The following is a 19,653-nucleotide window of genomic DNA, read 5'->3' as shown; positions in this document are numbered from 1 at the left end:
ATAAGTCATGCCTGGGAGTGCATAGGATTCAGCAGATCCCTCCCCCCCGACTTGGAAGAGCAAACGTCAGGTGCAATCGCTGTGAATCCTGCCTTCTACTTCCATACATGTGCTTCTTGCTGTTGGCCAACATGCCAACACAGAACACGCCAACACCACACTCTCTGCCCTGTATCTCTTAAGTGTAGGTTTTCAAATTCACAACAGATTTGTTTATAATATAGCATCCTTACATAGTCTGTAGACTTTTTAAGCAAATATTTTATATTTTTGCTGCAAAATTCTAACACTGCCAAACGTTTGCTTAAGTTCCCTTCTGCAGAGTAGTGGGGCTGCTTGGCTCGCTGGGACTCGGTGCCATTTCAGAGTCATCACAGTTAAACCTGCTGCCCACTGAGCCTGGCACTGCAGATCCTGATGCAACGACCACACCATTCTCACGGGAACCTTCACCCGTGACCCTTGGCCAACCTGCCACTTCAGCTCCAAGGGGAACCCCCACAGAGCCCATGACTGGAGTCTACTGGATTCCTCCTGCGGGGGACTCTGCAGTCCTGGGGGAGGCTCCAGAGGAAGGTTCACTAGACCTAGAGCCAGGGCCACAGAGCAAGGGATCCCTGATGACTGGCCGCTCTGAGAGAAGTCAGCCCACCCACAGCCCTGACCCTCACCTCTCTGGTAAGTGCCACTGTTCCTGCATGTCATCCCTCTTGTCTAGGCACCAAAGTTACCTTTGGAAGCAGTGAATCTGGTGGGTAAGGTGTGAGATCACATCAACATGGGCCTTTAAATCAGAAAGCGCCAGGTTCACACCCACCACTTGCTGGTTGTGCAATAGTCATCGAGTTTCGGATTCCTCATCTCTGAACTGGGAAAATGACAAACCCATGGCAGGTTCTGAGGCTGCAGTGAGGTCCCGTGTGTGCAGTGTCTGTGCTACAGTAGTTGTTTACTCCACACCGGCTTCCTAATCCTTCTCCCCTGCCCTGGGATCAATTGCTTCACTTTATCATTGGGTTTCAGGGGGATGGAAACCATTCTGGTACTTAAAAAATGGAGAGAAAAGGTAATAATGAGAAAAGCTCTGACCTGGCATCTGTCTCTCTGTCACTGTCCTCAGCTGCTTACTGATTTTGCTGCTTACTCTTGGGCTATGGTGGTCTCATGCTCTGCATGCTCTTGTCAATTCAGCTGTGCTCCAGGCCTCCCAGACTTGGCTGGCTGGCTGGAGGGACCGCTGTGAGCTCCTCTGCCTCTGGGAAAGGAGGGCTGAGGGGACAGGAGGCGACATTTGCAGCAGGGCATTCTTGTGTCCATTTCTCTCCTTCTAAAAGAAAAGAGTGAGACATTTTCTCTAAAAGAACAGTAAAAGACTCGCTTGAAGAGAGGATAGGATGCTGGGTGTGGTGGCAGAGACCCATATGTGAGCCTTGGTCTCAACTTACTTGCTGGGTTATTCTTAGAAACCACACACCTATTGGAGCTCCCTCTCCTCCTCCTGGGGCCCCGGGGCAATGAAACCTGCCTTGCCCAGCTGTCATGAGTGAGGGAAGACACCACCACTGAGGGTATTTTGTAATCCACAGAGCAATGTATGGAGTCTAGAAATACACCAAGGACAATGTGACCCATCAGGGGAGCTGCTGTTAATTTCAGGGGATTCTGTGATTTTAAAGGAAACATTATGATTTTGTCCTTTCTTATAGATTTTGAAGCCTATTACAGTGACATTCAAGAAGCAATACCATCGGGAGGAAGACAGCCAGGTGACTGTGCTTCTATGCCTGCTGCCTCTCTCCACTCAGCTCTCCTCCACAGCCTTTCTGCAATCTGGATTTCCCACCTGTTCCCTTACACAGCCACTGAGAGCTCCACAGAATCACAGGGAAAAGTTGAACTCTTACATGGCACGGTCTGAACCAAACCTTTATTTCTAGCTCCCCTCTTTCTGCCCTTCTCTCACCCTATGCTCCAAAATCCCAACAGTAGCCCCAGGCCCAAGGATGAGCATCCCAGCTCTTCCATGCCTTGGTCATGGAGTGTCGTCTGCCAAAAATGCCTTCCTCCACGTCCTTCCTAAGTTATCTGCTCAGCGAGCCTCCTCCTTCAGGTCTGGCTCCATTTCTCTCTGGGAAGTCTTCCTCAGGCTTGTCTTGTAAGGACCACCACTCCCCCCGCCTTCCCCCCAACCCCCAAAACACACACACACACACCAGCTCAGTATTTATTCCCTCCTCTGGGAAGCAGGTGGCACCTGGCACTTAGTGGCTCTTTCTGTGTCTGTGTCTTCTGCTCTGAGCTCTTCCAGGAAAGCTTCCATGGCCAGCTTATGCTATGTTCCCAGATGGATCACGGTCCCTGGCACATTGGCACTCAGTAAACACATTGTAGAATGAATTGATGATCAGCGAATGACTTATTCATCTATCGAATGAACAGATGTTTGATCAGCGAGTGACTGATTTATCTGTCTAGTGAAGAGATGGATGTCTAGTGAATGATTTATCTGTCAAATGAGTAGGTAAATGACTTATTTGATGAATGAATCGATAAATGGCTGATGAGTGAATGATTTATCTATCGAGGGAATAATGGATGATGAATGAATGATTTATTCCTCTGATTTGAGGCAGTGTTTCCTTCAACAGTCCTCCTCAGCTGCTTCCAACTGCACGGCTTCTCCAGCCCTTCCCATGTTCCTTCCTGTGTGTCGTGCTCTTCTTGGATGAGATGGTCAGTCAGGTGCAGCCACAGAGGAGAGAAAAACAAAGAAAATACTCCCAGGTCCTAGAGACAAGAGGCATGGCAGGCCACACAAGGCCACATGGGGAAGCTGCAGGGAGGTCAGGAGACAGCAGACAGGAGCAAGGGGAGCCCTTAAGCCAAGGTTTTTTTTGGGTTTTCCACGGCAAAGAAAGGCAAGGCTAAGGCAGGGCTGGATGAATAGTTTAGAATCAGTTAGTTTAATTTCAGCAGATCCTAGGCCTAAGGGTGGTCTCTAGTTGCCCAGGATGATTTGTTGGGGGTGGTTCTGGATTGGTCAGTTTGCAAATCAAAGACACATTGCAGGCTGGGCCTTTTGTAATCTCTAAGAGTTGGCTAGCCCCAGCCCCAAGAGAAGCACTGTCTCCTTAGCCAGAACGCTTTTGTTTCATTTTGTTCTTCAGTATATCAAAACATCATCATACAGAACATTTAAAAGTCTTTACAGTACACACGCAGATCTGTTGTAGAGGCTCACATTCGTACTCACAGTAGGTGCTTAATCAATACAACTGAATGAAGAAAGATCTGCCTTTGTATTGCATTTATAAAATTATTCCTCCTTACAACATTTGTGTTTTATTACTATATCTTGCTTCAGTGACCTTGGTTTCAAGTCTTAAAGGAGCCTCCTTAGCCTAAGTGAAGTGCAGCGACTCCTTCTTGCCTAGACCATGCAGGAGCCCTTCCTTTGCCCTCGCTGCTTCTCTTCTTGCTGCCTGCAGTCATCTCATCACATGACAGGCAGAGGACTCTTCACCACAAACCAGGCTGTTGTTACTCTCCTGACAGGTCCCTCCAGTGGCTTCCTAGGGCACTCAGGACAAAAGCCCGTGGCTGTGCACCCAGCATGATGTGACCCTGGCAATGCCTCCAGCCACATTTTTCCTCCTCCTGCCCTCCCTCCCTCCCTCCCACCCTCCAACCACTAGGGCAGATCATTCCCACAGCATTTTGGTTTTACTCAACCTGGAAACTCCTTCCTTCAGATGCTTGAAGGGCTCCTTCTAGTCTTAGTCTTCAGAGAGGACCTCCCTGACCTCCATCTCAGAAGGACTTCCTTTCCACACCACTCTCTCTTCCTCTGCATACCCCGCTTTTCTTTCCTTCATTACCTGAGTTTATATTATTTATTTATGTGTTTTCTCATTTATTTTTTGGACTGCCTCACTATTAACTCCAGATAGCAAGGACACCATTGATCTGGTTCACGCTGTGTCTCCTATTTCTAGAGTAGTACCTGGACTTAGTAGACCTTAATAAATCTTGCAGAAGGAAGGAAGGAAGATAGGAAGGGAGGGAGGGAGGGAGGGAGGGAAGATGCCTTTGGACCGCTAATTACATGTTAACAAAGTACATGTCTTGAATATGTTTGGCTGCTGAAGACATTATATTAGATAGGCGGTATCCAGCAATAGTACAAATAGTTATTAATATCAGCATTGAATCACTAATGCTTTAAGATCATCATGACTTTTTTTCTTTAACATCTATTGGCTTGGTTTATCTTCCTAGCTAAGGACACCAGCTTTCCAGGATCAGGACCTAGCTTGAGTGCCGAGGAGAGCCCTGGAGATGGGGATAACCTGGTGGACCCCTCCCTGTCTGCAGGCAGAGCCGAGCCTGTCCTCATGATTGACTGGCCCAAGGCCCTGCTGGGTCGAGCAGTTTTCCAAGGCTATTCATCCTCAGGTATGAATGTCCTCTTTGTACCCTCCAATTTGCAGTGTTTCTGAAGCTTTTAGATATCAGCCCTCAATTTCTTCTGAACTTTTCGTTTTACTAGATAAGTATTTAGAATTGTGGTACCTTTTCTACTTGTGCTTGTTCTTCTATGGACTATGGCCTGAGACTCTTCTAACAAAAGTAAAGTTAGCGTCTGTTGCTACCAGGAGATCCATGTGTGTAGACCAAAGCGGAAGAGGGGTGCTGCCAAGTGCTGCACGTTCTGTGCTCCCAGACACCTTGGTGCGCACCTTTTCTGTGACAGCCTTTTGTAGGGTGGTCAGGGATTTACATGAATTGGTCAAAATGAAGCTGCTCCTGAAGAGCGATTGAATTTCTAATGGAATTTCCCAGCCCAGACATGGTGCTTTTGCTCAATTTGTTGTATTTCCCCCTTTCGTGTTAATACATGTGATTGTGCCATCCTTACAGACCTCTTGGGGAGGATCTGGATTTCACACTATTTTTAGATAATTTTCCCTTCACCCTTTCCTTGAAGCATTTTGAGAAGTACTATTGTAAGATTGTAATTTTAGAAACTGTCCATGTTTAGATCATCAATCTTGTATTTCCGATCTCTCCTTTTTTCAGGGTAAGTAGTGAGAGGTCAGCCTCTCTCTGCTAAGGAAGTAATCCAGTCACCACGGTCAGCAGTTACACCCAGGTTAAAAATTGTCCATAACCAGTATTCTGCAGACTTAAAAATAGCTTCAAAATTCCTTAATCATACTTTATAGTATGATTTATAAAATTGCCAAATTAAACATGAACATAATTATAAACATATAAAATAAGATCCTAACAGAATTCTCTTGTTGCTTGGGACATTAGTGTCATTTCTGAGCCAGGGATGGATGGACCATCCTCAGTAATGCTTCTGTTGGGCAGGACAGGCTGTTTATAGAAGGCAGTAACCAGCAACCTTTCCAAGCAGGAGTGGCATGTTTCACTAGTATCTATGTTAATTTCACCCCTGGGGGAAGAGTGGAACTCATTTCCAAGGACTCTGTGTGACCTCTGTCCTTGAGACCACTGACTGTCATTTCCATGCAGCCATGTCTTTTCTGCAGGTATTACAGAACAGACAGTGACAATCAAGCCATACTCTCTGAGCAGTGGAGAGACGTACGTCCTGCAAGTGTCTGTGGGTATGTTACATTGTCAGTTGCATTTATCAGAGGATGAGGAGTCCTGCTGCGTCTCTGTGAGTTTACTCTTCCTAAGGAATGGGGTGCAGGTCTACATCAGCGTAAAGGCTAAGCAGTTGCCTTTTTAAAAAATTACATATATATAGGGCTGGGCACAGTGGCTCACGCTTGTAATCCCAGCACTTTGGGAGGCCGAGGCAGGCAGATCACGAGGTCAGGAGATCGAGACCATCCTGGCTAACACGGTGAAACCCCATCTCTACTAAAAAATACAAAAAATTTGCCGGGCATGGTGGCGGGTGCCTGTAATCCCAGCTATTCGAGAGGCCGAGGCAGGAGAATGGCGTGAACCCAGGAGGTGGAGCTTGCAGTGAGCCAAGATCGCGCCACTGAACTCCAGCCTGGGCGACAGAGCAAGACTGTCTCAAAAAAAAAAAAAAAAATATATATATATATATATATGTATATATATATATATATCTTATTTATGCTAGACAACTGCACAAGTTGATTCCTTTCCTGCAAATCTGTCCGTAATCTCTCTCTCTCTCTCTCTCTCTATTTAAACCCTAGAAAGGTGTTATTGCTTGTTTTGTGCCACTGATGTTCATTGAAATTCACCCACAGGCCTCGCCTTACCCTTGCTCTGCATTCCTTCTTGCGTTTCCATGCCTATCTCAATCTGAGATCATCGTTTTGCAGAACTTCTAGACATTTTCCCCCATTTCTAGAGGTTTTCATTCCATATGACAAGCACAGTGGGCTTAATTTTTTTTTTTATTTTTTATTTTTTTGTTGAGACGGAGTCCCTCTGTTGCCCAGGCTAGAGTGCAGTGGCCCGATCTTGGCTCACCGCAAGCTCTGCCTCCCAGGTTCACGCCATTCTCCTGCCTCAGCCTCCCGAATAGCTGGGACTACAGCTGCCTGCCACCACGCCCAGCTAATTTTTTGTATTTTTAGTAGAGATGGGGTTTCACCATGTTAGCCAGGATGGTCTCGATCTCCTGACCTTGTGATCTGCCCGTCTCAGCCTCCCAAAGTGCTGGGATTACAGGCGTGAGCCACCGTGCCTGGCCTTTTTTTTTTTTTTTTTTTGAGACAAAGTCTTGCTCTGTTGCCCAGGCTGGAGTGCAGAGGCACGGTCTCAGCTCACTGCAACCTCCACCTCCCAGGTTCAAGTGATTCTCCTGCCTCAGCCTCCCGAGTAACTGGGATTACAGCTGCCTGCCACCACGCCCGGCTAATTTTTTGTATTTTTAGTAGAGTGGGGGTTTCACCATGTTGGCCAGGCTGGTCTCGAACTCATGACCTCAAGTGAGCGATCCACCTGCCTTGGCCTCCACAAGTGCTGAGATTGCAGTCATAAGCCACCGCACCCAGCCAACAATTTTTATCTACAGATAGGTTTGGTTCAACATCCACAGTTTTGCATTAATTAAAACCTATCAGGAATTTGCAAACTTGCATTCTCTGTGAACTCTATTGTCATACAAGTGGGAAACCCGAGGTTCACTTTCTCCTGAGAACTGGCTGGGCTGGGCTCAATGAGATCCCTGAGGGTCATCTTGATTCTCACAGTTTCTATAAACATCTGCCTGCCCCTTCCACGTTTAGCATTTAACAACTAGCCCTGGGTCCCTGCTTTGGATACAAGACGGGCAGCGTTTGCTTTTGTTTCAACAAATACCTTTTGCCTTTGGCTGTACCTCTTTCTTTTGCCTCTGAAATTTGCCCAAGTGACAAGTCTAAAGACAGTTCTCTTAGCTGGGCCATATTCCTTAATGGTGCAGGAGACACATGAGAGTCTCTCCATGGCCCACCAGCCTGGTCAGTGTCCTTGGCTGGCTGCCAGGTGGTGCACTCAGGCTCCAGGTCTCCTGTCAGCCTTCTCTCCCGCAGCCTTGCACACCCTCGCTGACTGCTGCCCTCCCTTCCCGTGCTCTTCAGATAACACCAGGCCCCCTCGTGACTCTAAGTCTTTCCCTGTGGTTATTTTGGCTGGAATGCCCATTCTTTTCCCCACATCCCTTCCTAAGCCCAGTATAAGACTGATACCCCAAGACTCCTCACTCAAATGTGTCTTCTTTTGTGGAGATTCCCCTGGTCAGCCAGGCAGGATTCATCATCCTTTTCTCCTGGGTTTTACTTTTGTTATGAGATCTGTCTTCCATGGTTAATGTGACTGTTAAATAAGATAATACAGGAACAGTGTCTAGCAGGGCACCTGGTGTGTAGCAGAGGCTCAATAGATGGTACCTGCTGTTACGATGAGGATGATGATCATCAAGATTTTAAACCATTTGACATGTAAATTTCATTTCTATAATCCATCTCAAGACAAATACATTAAACATTTAAAAACTATATGTATGAGAATAATCATTATGGGGTGATCAATAATAACAGAAAATGGAAAATAAGCAAAATGTTTAATCATTGGGGATAATAATTGTGCGTATTAGGGTATATCTGTTCCATGTAATCTTATGCTGCTATTTACAACAATGATTTTGGATGCTCTATGTCAACATGGAAAATAGTTATGATATTAATATAGTTAATAAAACAAAATATAAAATTGTATTGGTGCTATACATTCAACGAAGCTGTACGTACGTGTGTATGTGGCTAAGGTTTTGAGAGAATCCAGGAGAATGGAGAAAGTTTGCTCTGCTGGGTAATGGGTCTGTTAGCATCATCTCTCCCTCAGGCTTCGGTTTCTGTCTGGGTGGTTGCCATGTGACTCCCAGGTAGGGAGACACTTCTGTCTCCCCAGGGCCTAGGATAGTACCTGCCCCACCCAGTGAGTGTTTGTTATATTAATGAACATATAGGCAGTGGTTCTCAAACCCCAGAACTTCAGAATCCCCTAAGGGTATGTGAAAACTATCACTGAGTCTCAGTTTCTGAGTCAGCAGGTCTAGGGTGGGGCTCCAGAATCTTCATTTCTGACAAATTCCCAGGTTAGTCCGATGCTGCTGGTCTGGGGACCCTACTTTGAGAACCCCTGCTATAAGGTTTATCTATAAAAACTTATTCCTATGCTGCTGTAATTCTCCATCATGGGTGAAACCGCTGCTTCATCTTTCTCTTTAGCTTCGAAGCATGGCTTACTGGGTAAAGCTCAGCTGTACTTGACAGTCAACCCGGCTCCTCGGGACATGGCCTGTCAGGTGCAGCCCCACCATGGTCTGGAAGCACACACCGTCTTCAGTGTCTTCTGCATGTCTGGAAAACCGGTACGTGGACAACCCCATGTCTGTCCTGAGAGACCCCCGACAGTGGCATCTGGCAGTCACAGCAGTCACGGGTGCTGTAGGAATGGACAGCAATGTCCTTCCCACCTGTGAAGGATTTCAGCCTGCCGTTGAATGTTGGAAAGTTGGTTAGGCATGAATGGGCTTCCCCACACACTAATGAGAGGAGTGCAAAGTGGCCCCCTGGTTGAGAAGGTTCAGAATTTCACAAAGAGACAAGGGCCTGCTCACCAGGAGTCGTCTGCCCTGCAGCCTGGTTAGAACAGGGGCCTCCGTTAATGCTGCCCCCAAGAAAAAGGCAGGCACGTGACCCAAAGTGAGGAGAGGAGCCTGGCCCTTTCCCTCCCCAGGCACATTTCTAACACGGACTTACCCTCACCCTTTCTCTGGGCCATGGAGAAGACCATTGTGATTTTGTTGCTCAGGGTCTTGTGAGGGTGAAATGAGAGGATGGATTTAAAAAGATGAATGCAAACCAGCCTGGCCAACATGGTGAAACCCCATCTCTACTAAAAATACAAAAATTAGCTGGGTGTGGTGGTAGGTGCCTGTAATCCCAGCTACTTGGGAGGCTGAGGCAGGAGAATTGCTTGAACCCAGGAGGCGGAGGTTGCAGTGAGCCGAGATCGCGCCATTGCACAGCAGCCTGGGAGACAGTGTGAGACTTATCTCAAAAAAAAATTTAAAAAAAGATGAATGCCTCAGGTGATGGGCAGGCAGGACAGGAGCCTGTGATATTGTGACCCTGGCACTGCCCTCTCCATCCTCTCAGCCAGGACACTGACCTCCCTGCCCTTCTGCCTGACCCCTTCTGTAGGAAGCCCCACCCTTGTCCTCCAGAGGTCCCAGACCATGGCCTTCCCTTGAGGCACCCCGACCCCTCCCTCCTGCTCCTCCTGCTGTGTGATGCCCAGCAGTGTGGAAGCTGAGGGGCAGCTGGGGCCCTTCACCCTGAGGGGGCTGTGACAGTCTGATTTGTGACTGTGGGGAGGTTCCAGGACAAGGAGAGGACACAGACACTGGTGGGGAATCTCAGTGTTGTTCGAGGAGCCCTTTGGGCTTGGTGAATGGAGAGCCCTGCAGGGCCCAGGGCTCTGGGCAGCTGGGAGTGCTGCTTACCTGTCACTTACCCTCTTCCTGGCTGTAAAGAATGTCCTTGGTACAATGAAGGCTCAGCTGTGTGTGTATGTATTGTGATATCATTCACAGTGTGTTCATTTATACTATTTTTGCTCCCTTGGACTGGATCATAGGACTTCCATTATGAATTTAGTTACCAGATAGGAAACACCTCCAAACACACTTTGTACCATGGGAGAGACACCCAGTATTATTTTGTGTTGCCAGCTGGTGAGCACTTGGACAATTACAAAGGTAAGCTATGGTGCCAGTTGGAGTCACTAGCTGTGCCAACCTACAGTTCTAAACCTTTTTTCCTGGTTTTCAAAAACTAAACTGTGTCTAGAAAATAAAATCACCTTGATCAGTTTAATGCTTTTCAGTTTAGGTTTATTATCTACCTTTTAGTGCAGAAAGAACATTAGTAATATCAATAAATTAAATCAGTTTTTTATATCTTAAATTTTAACTGAAATACACTGTAAATGATAAAATGCCAGAGAATGTTTTTTCATATATAAATTAAATATTTAAAATCAGGACATTTCTTACTTACTAATGAAATATGTCATATCTGGTGAATCTTGCATTTATTATAGATGAAACCAAATCAAGGTATCCCCCTAAGGAACAAAATGTGGGGTAAATGAATGTGAGTTAGCATGTTAGTAACATAACCTCAAAACAAAATGAATCCCACAGTGTTTACAACTTTCTGCTCTGACCCTGTTCCTGAGGTTGTGGTTACTTCTAAACCAGTCCCTTGGAACTGGCTTCAACTGAGCATAAGAGACATGCAGCCATTTAGGAAGGTATCTTGACATGTGCAAACCCAGGCTGGTTAAATAAAAATCTTGGGGGTTGGTGACTTTTTAAGTTTCTGTTTTATTTTTTAAATGCCTGGAAGATTCTGATGTGCAGGGAAGGTTGAGAGTCACTGATCTAGAAGTTTCTTTAATTTGGACTGGTAAGATTATTAGAGCCTGAAGTCTGAACTAGTTCATTCACTTGATTTATTTAAGTTTCACCTCTCCTTTAAGCCAAGCTGAAGTTCCTTCTTCTTCATGAAACTTTGCCTGTCACCTTCAGTTAGAAACACTTGTACCTTCTTCTAGATACAAATCAATTATATTGAGCAAAACTTCTGAGCAGGGCATTTTGAGATCTTCATAATCATGCTCTGCTTTGTATCACAGTGACTTTGTACTCCGTTTGATCTTGAGTTTTCTTGAAGTCAAGCTGCGTACGGGGTTATGTGAGACTTAGGCTGGGCAAATGTTCCAATAGAAGGACCTTGGGCCAGGGCCTCAGCTCTGTGTTGGAAGTAAAGATTTCTTAACATAAATTTACAGACCAAATTTCAGGTCACAGTCCCAGAGCAGTGTCAGGGTTAGTGATGTTACTCAAATCATTCACAACCACAATTTGTTTGTAATTGTCACTATCAGTACAGCCAATTCCTATGAATACCTGAACTCAAGATTTGTAAGGGGGCGAACATAAGCAAAATAAATACAATATAGTAAATACTTAATACATACCTTTTCTTGTCCCATCTTTTGCATGAGTGAGTGTGGCGCAGACTCAGCTTGTCAAAATAAGTGGAGTCTTGCCTAAAAACTGCTCCTTTGGGATTTTCTATATCCGTGCATAGGACCAACCTTATCTGTTAAGGGTATTTGTTAAAATTGCTGCCTCCAGAGCCCACCTAGTATCCACTGACTCAGGATTGTGGGGAGAAGATGGAGCACGGAATTTGCTTGTAGACGAGATGCCTGGCGCTTGGGCTGCAAGTGTCCATAGACCACATCTTGAGAAGTGTCAACCTCCAAAATTAAGTCCCCAATCCTTGGCACTGAGTTTCAGGTTGAAAATGTTGTTATAAAGATACATAGGGCACACCTGGGCGTCGATCTTTCTATGTGGTTCCTATGACGGTGCCTGTGGCCCTTAGCATCTGGCCATCACCTGCACTCTGAGCCTGATCTGCAGGTCCCCTCACCACAGCCCTGCACCCCTGTTACATGAAGGAATTCCTGGGTCCCCCAAATAGGTCTTATGTCTTTTAAAAAGTCCCCTCTGTCAGAATTCTTCACCTTTTTTCTAGGCCTGTTAAATTTCTATATATCATGTAGGAACTGGTCAAACTATAACCCCAAGCCTTGACAGTCCATTGCCGAGTTTGTATTTCACTCCCTGGGCTCCCTGTGGCTCGGAGCCTGGCCCCTTTGTCAGCACTTGTCACAGTTTTAGTCATCCAGAAGATGCTGTCTGTGTGTGAAGAAGCATCTCTGTAACCCACATGTCCAAGATGACCCTCTTCTGACATGTTCCCTCACAGTCATGGTTTCCACTGAAATCACAGATGGCAAAGGCTCCAAGGTCCAGCCGTGCACTGTGGTGGTGACTGTGCTGCCCCGCTACCATGGAAATGACTGTCTGGGCGAGGACCTGTGAGTAACACAATGCCACACAGACATCCTAGCCATTATTTGTATTTCTTCCAGAGTTGGCTCTCCCCCAAGTTGTTAACAAGCGTCAAAAACATGTCAGGAACTCATCTTCTTAAGATGGAGCAAATAAAAAAGTCCGGGTGCTATCACTGCAATCCTGCTAACTCATATTTGCATGGCATTCTTGCAGGTGCTTCAGAGCCTATAAAGCTACTTTCTTCTCCTTCTTTTTTTTTTTTTTTTTTTTTTGAGACAGAGTCTCCGCCTGTCACCCAGGCTGGAGAGTGCAGTGGCACAATCTCGGCTCACTTGCAACCTCCACCTCCCGGGTTCAAGTGATTCTCCTGCCTCAGCCTCCTGAGTAGCTGGGATTACAGGTGTGCGCCACCAAGCCTGACTAATTTTTGTATTTTTAGTAGAGATGGGGTTTCACCATGTTGGTCAGGCTGGTCTCGAACTCCTGACTTCGTGATCCACCCGCCTCGGTCTCCCAAAATGCTGGGATTACAGGTGTGAGCCACCGCGCCCAGCCTCACTTTCTTCTTTTTTAAAAACAGTTTTTAAAGATATCATTTACATTCCACATGTTCATCCATTTAAAGTATGCAACTCCTTGGTTTTAATAATTTATTGAATTATACAGCCTTCACCATAAGCTAGTTTTAGACAATTTTTCATCATCCCGTGAAAACCTTGACTTATTAGCAGTCACTCCCTTTACCCACCACCCAGCTTCCTCCCACCGGCCCCGGACAACCACAAATCTATTTAATATCTACAGGTTTGCTGATTCTGAAAATTTCATATAAATGAGATAATATAACATATGATCTTAAGTAACTGTCTTTTCACTGAGCATGTGAATGTTTTTGAGTTTCATCTATGTAGCAAAATATATTAGTACTTCATTCTTTTTTGTTGCTGAATAATATTTTATTGTATGAACATATCATATTTTATTTATTCATTAATTAGTTGATGGATGTGTGGGTTGTTTTCACTTTTTGGCTATAATGAATCACACTGCTATGAACATTTATGTGCAAGTTTTTGTGTGAGTGTGTGGTTTCATTTTCCTTGGGTAGGTAACTAGGAATGGAAACAGTGTCCTATGGTAACTACCAAACTATTTTCCGTAGTGGCTGCACCATTTTGTATTCCCACTAACGAGGTATGAGAGTTCTGGTTTCTTGATATCCTAACCAACACTGGTTATTGTCTTTTTGTTCACAGCTGTTCTAGTTAGTATGAAGTGGTATCCCATTAAGGTTTGGACTTGCGTTTCTCTAATAATTGATGAGGTTGAGCATCTTTTCATATGCTTTGTATATCTTCCTTGAAGAAATGTCTGCTTAGTACTTTACCCATTTTTATGTAGGTTATCTGTATTTTTATAATGGATAACCTAATTAAAACGTTTGTTTCTTGATTCTCAATTCTATTCCATTAGTCTGAATGTCTCTTCTCATACCAGTACTATGCTGCCTTGATTATTATAGTTTAGTAGTAAATTTTGAAACTGAAAAACCTGAGCCCACTAACTTTGTTCTTTTTAGAAGGTTGGGTCTTTCAGGTCTCTCATATTTCCATATGAGTTTTAGAATCAGCCTGTCGATTTCTGCAAAAACAAAGCAGCACAGGCATGGGACAATGGCTTTGGTGCCGGCCAGCCTCTCCAGCCTTGCTCTGGCTGGGGCAGACTGGGGCTCCAGACTCCTGCTGCAGGGGGTAGAAAAACAAAACAAAACAAAAGCTAACTGGGATTTTCATAGGGATTTGTCAAGTCTGTACATCAGTTTGGGGAGTATCTTGTATCCTATAACCCTGCTGAACATGTTTGTTAGTATTAATAGTTTTTTACCGAATTCCTTGAGATTTTCTCTATATAAGATCATGTCATCTGTCACTAGAGATAGCTTTGCTTCTTTCTTTCTAATCTGGATGCCTTCCATTTCTATTTCTTGCCTAATTCTCTTGACTAGAACCTCCATTCAACGCTGAACAGAAGTGGCAAGCGTGGAAATCCTGGTCTTCTTCTCAGTTTTAAGGAGGAAGCATTCAGTCTTTCACCACTTCATATTAATATTAGCTAGAGGTCGTTCACAGACAACCGTTATCAGATTGAGGATGTTCTCTTCTATTCCTAGTTTGTTGTGTGTGTATTTCATTATAAAAACGTATTGGATTTTGTTAAATGCTTTTCCTAGGTCTATGGAGACAATTATATGTTTTTTGTCCCTTAGTCCATTAATTTGTTACGTTTTGGATGTTTGTGTCCTCTCTAAAATTCCTGTTCAAACTATCCCCAGTGCAACAGTAGTTAAGAGGTGGTGTCTGTAGGAGGTGATTAGGCCATAAGGGTTCTGCTCTCATAAATGAAATTAGTCACCTTATAAAATGGCTGGAGGGAACTAGATAGGCCCTCTTTGGTCGTTCTGTCCCTTCTGTCATGTGAGGTCACAGCCTTCTTCCCCTCTGGAGGAGGCAGCAACAGGTGCCACCTTGGAAGCAGAGAGCAGCCTCACCAGACACTGAGCCTATTAGTGTCTTGATCTTAGACTTCCCAGACTCCAAAACTGTGAAAATAAATTTCTGTTCTTTATATATTACCCAGTCTCAGGTATTTTATTATAATAGCACAAACTAAGATACAAGTTATATAAAATTGATTGATTTTCAGATGTTGAATCACTCTTACAGTCTGGGAATAAATTCCATTTGGTCATGATGTATACATCTTTTTCTGTGTGCTGGATTTGATTTCTAGTACTTTTCTGAGGATTTTTGTGTCCATGTTCATAAGAGGTATTGGCCTGTAGTTTTCTTTCTTTTCCTGTGTTGTCTTTGTCTGGTTTTGGTATCAGAATAATACTGGCCCCAATCAATTTGGAAGTATTCCTTTTTTTTTTTTTTTCTTTTTTTTTTTGAGACAAGGTTTCCATCTGTTGTCTAGGTTGGAGTACAGTGGCATGATCATGGCTCACTGCAGCCTTGACCTCCTAGGCTCAAGCCATCCTTCCACCTCCGCCTCCCAAGTAGCTGGGATTATAGGCACATGCCACCATGCCTGGCTAATTTCATCATGTTGCCCAGGCTGGTCTCGAACTCCTGGGCTCAAGCAATCCTCCCACCTTGGCCTCCCAAAGTGCTGGGATAACAAGTGTGTGCCGCCACACCTAGCTTCCTTTGCATTCAAGTATTTGGAAGATTTTGTGAAGGATGGGTAGTGATTCTTCTATAAACATTTACCAGCAAAGTTATTTGGACCTGGCATTTTCTTTGTGGAAATTTTGAAATGACTGATTCAGTATCTTTACTATTCAGATTTCTGTTTCTTCTTGAGTCAGTTTCAGTAGTTTGTTTCTTTCTAGGAATTTTCCATTTCATCTACATTCTCTATTTTTTTTGGCATACAGTTTTGTATGGTGTTCTCCTATAATCCTTTTTATTTCTATATGGTCAGTAGAGATATCAATTTCATTCCTGATTTTAGTAATTTAAGTCATCTCTTTTTCCCTCTCTTATTTTTTGTCTGTCAGTCTAGCTAAAGATTTGTCATTTTGTTGATGTTTTCAAAAAACCAGCTTTTGGCTTCATTGATTTTTATTGTTGTGGTTGTTTTTCTATTCTCTATTTCATTCATTTCTACACTAATTTTTATTCTTTTTTTCCCCGCCTTGTACTTGCTCTGGTTTACTTTGCTCTTGTTTTTTTTTGTTGTTGTTGTTTCTTAAGGTGAAAAATTAGATTATTGATTCGTCATCTTCTTTATAGCCATTTATAGCTTTAAATTCCCTTCAAGCACTGATTTAGCTGCATCCAATGTGTTTTAGAATGTTGGTGTTTTCATTTATTAATCTCAAAGCATTTTGTAATTCTTGTTGCAATTTCTTCTTTGAACCATTGATTATAATATTTAGGAGTATGTTTTTTACTTTTTTACATATTTGTAATTTTCCAAATATCTTTTGTCATTGATTTCTAATTATTTAATTCCATCATGGTCAGAGGATATACTCTGTATAATAGCAGTAGTTTAAAATTTATTGAGTTTTGTTTGTGGCCTACTATATGGTGTATTCTAGAAAATGTCCCATGTGCACTTGAAAAGAATATGTATCTGATTTTGTTGGCTAAATGTTCAATGGTTATCTGTTAGGTCTAATTGATTTATATTATTGTTTGAGTCTTATGTATCCTTGTTGATTTTCTGCCTGGTGGTTCTATCCATTATTGACAGTATTATTATTTTGAGTTTTCTGTATCCCTTCAGTTCTGTCCATTATTGCTCATGTATATGGAACCTGTTGTTAGGTCCCTATATGTTTACAATTTTTTAACCTTCCTGGTGAATTTACCTACATTATCATTAGGAAATGTCCCTCTTTATTGCAACTATCTGTTTTTGTCTAATTTCTTTTTTGTCTGATATAAACATAACCACTCTACATGCCTTGCTGTTACTGTTTGCATGTCTCTTTCCATCCTTTTACTTACAACCTAATTTTATCCTTGAACCTAAAGTAGTCTCCAGTAGACAGCATATAGTTGAATCTTGGTTTTGTGTATAGTCTTACAATCTCTGCCTTTTGGTTGAATCATGTAATCTATTCACATTTAATATTATTATTGATGTGGTTGGATGGATTTATGTATGCCATTTTGCTTATTTTTTGCATGTCTCATTATTACTTTGCTCCTCTATTTCTTCTTTACTGCCTCCTTTTATGTTAAGTATTTTCTAGTATATCATTTTCACTCCTTTAATGATTATTATGTATTTTTAGATATTTTCTTAGTTGTTGCACTAAGGCTTACAATATACACCTTAACTTACTAGAAACTACTTCAAATTTATATTAATTTCAGCAAGATGTAGAAAATTTACTCCTCTATAGATCCATTTCCTCTTCCCTTTTTGTGTTATGATTGTTATGTATGTTACATCTATCAGTGTTACAAACCCAACAGTCCAATGTTGTAATTATTGTTTTATAAAATTTTCTGTCTTTTTATTTTTTCTTGAGACAGAGTCTTGCTCTGTTGCCCAGGCTGGAGTGCAGTGCCGTGATCTCGGCTCACTGCAACCTCCGCCTCCTGGGTTCAAGCGATTCTACTGCCTCAGCCTCTGAAGTAGCTGGTATTACAGGCATGTGCCACGACGCCTGGCTAATTTTGTATTTTTAGTAGAGATGGGATTTCTCCATGTTGGTCAGGCTGGTCTCGAACTCCCGACCTCAGGTGATCCGCCTGCCTCGGCCTCCCAAAGTGCTGGGATTACAGGCATGAGCCACCACGCCTGGCCAGTTTTCTGTCTTTCAAAGAAACTGGAGAAGAGAGCACAAATATATTTTTAGAAATTGCTTTTAATGTATGCTAATCTTATTTAGTATTTTTGTTTGTCTTCATATCTTCCTGTGGCTTTAAGTTACCATCTAGTGTCATTTCTTTATTCTTGTATAGTTTTATTTCCACCTCCCTTATTTGTGTTTTTTTTGTTGTTGTTTTTTGTTTTGTTTTGTTTTGCCTTGAGACAAGGTCTCACCCTGTCGCCCAGGCTGCAGTGCAATGGCACAATCTTGGCTCACTGCAACCTCAGCCCCCTGGATCCAAGCAATTCTCCTGCCTCAGCCTCCCAAGTAGCTGGGATTACAGGCACACACCGCCACGCCCAGCTAATTTTTTGTATTTTTAGTAGAGATGGGGTTTCACCATGTTGGCCAGGCTGGTCTTGAATTCTTGACCTCAGGTGATCCACATGCCTCAGCCTCCCAAAGTGCTGGGATTACAGGCATGAGCCACCACGCCTAGACTTTGTGTTCTTGTTACATTATATTTCTGTGTGTTATGGGCCCAACAGTACAGCTCTGTAGAAATGTCTTTATGCAATGGCTTTTTAAATAAGAAGAGAGAAAAAGATAATTCATGAACTTAATTGTTCAACATTTCTCTGAGTTGCCATTCATTTTCTTCCTACTTTTTTCTTCCTGTTATTTATAATCTCTATTACTCTGTCTTCAAGTTTCTAGATTCTTTCTTTTCTCAAATTTACTTTTGAACATTTCTTTTGTTATAATTATTATACATATAACTTCATAATTTCCATTTGGTTCTCTCTGTAACTTATAAATTTATAGCTTCTATCTGTTTATTGATAGTCTCTATTTGACTAAACATTGTTCTAACTTCCTTTGATTTTTAAAAATATGGTTTCCTTTCATTCTTTGAATCATGTTTATAATAGCTGTTTCAAAGTCCTTGCTAATTCCAACATCTGAGTCTCCTCATAGGCAGTTTCTATTGCCTGCTTATTTTTCTCATGTTTGGGTCACACTTAATGTTTCTTTGGATGTCTCATAATTTTTCATTGATAACTGGACATTTTAGATAATATATTGCAGCCACTCTGGGTATTGGCCTACCTCCTTTTCCTGGCTTGTTGTCGTTGTTTTTGTTTGTTTGGTCATTGGTTTATATGTTTATTAGTTTGGCAAGACGAATTCTGTAAAGTATATTTCCCCTCGTTGTGCAGCCAGTGATGTTTCTGCTCAGATTTATTTGTTCTTTTTATCTTTAACTTGGCTTCCTAGGGTCTTAGTCTCCATAAATCACTTATTGGTCAAGGGTGAACTTAAGCATCGTGTATAGAGCCCATGATGCATTTTCTAATCAATTAGAACATGATTTCTAATTAATTTACTTCTTGCAATGACCCACTGCGGTGTGTCCAGATGAAAATTTCTATTTTATACATTTGGAAACTGAGGATCATTTTTCTCTTAAACAATACTCTTGTGCTCATACAGCAAATAAATTGCAGAACAAGGGCTGAAACTGGCCTTTGACCTCATGTATAGGCCTCTTTTCACAATACTGTGTTATCTTTTCCAGTGCAAGTAAGTATGCTGTTTGTAAATAAGTAAATAAATGCGCAATTATTGAAACCCGGAGTCATAAACTCCGGCCAGCTGTAGCGTGGTGGTATCTCTGTCTGGCTCTGGAATACATTCCTTCATTTGCCATGATGCTTCTATATTAGTATCTGGTTTCTTGTGCCTTTTTTAGTTCTGATAAAAGGAGTTTTTGTAAAATTTTATATTATGACTTACAGTGTCTTTTTAGAGTTTCCGTTGCACAGACCAATTCTCCTTTGTATCATTCTCTTTCTACCCTGCCCTGTCCAAGAGG

General features: G+C 42.8%; 1 protein-coding gene across 2 annotated transcripts in view; it reads left to right on the top strand.

Annotated features, from left to right (window-relative positions):
• PKD1L1 (polycystin 1 like 1, transient receptor potential channel interacting) overlaps positions 1 to 19,653 on the top strand; it is a 186,293-nt gene that overhangs the window by 74,543 nt on the left and 92,097 nt on the right. For both annotated transcript variants that reach the window (XM_017011798.3, NM_138295.5), the window contains 7 exons: positions 310 to 678; positions 1,707 to 1,766; positions 4,279 to 4,455; positions 5,559 to 5,636; positions 8,733 to 8,875; positions 10,147 to 10,267; positions 12,354 to 12,465. In XM_017011798.3, coding sequence (XP_016867287.1) covers positions 310 to 678; positions 1,707 to 1,766; positions 4,279 to 4,455; positions 5,559 to 5,636; positions 8,733 to 8,875; positions 10,147 to 10,267; positions 12,354 to 12,465 — 1,060 coding nt within the window. The remainder of the gene's footprint in view (positions 1 to 309; positions 679 to 1,706; positions 1,767 to 4,278; positions 4,456 to 5,558; positions 5,637 to 8,732; positions 8,876 to 10,146; positions 10,268 to 12,353; positions 12,466 to 19,653) is intronic.

The sequence above is a fragment of the Homo sapiens genome, chromosome 7, assembly GCF_000001405.40.
Source record: "Homo sapiens chromosome 7, GRCh38.p14 Primary Assembly".
Lineage (NCBI taxonomy): Eukaryota > Metazoa > Chordata > Mammalia > Primates > Hominidae > Homo > Homo sapiens.
Note: the sequence above shows the minus strand (reverse complement) of the source record. Positions and strands in the feature narration are given on the sequence as shown.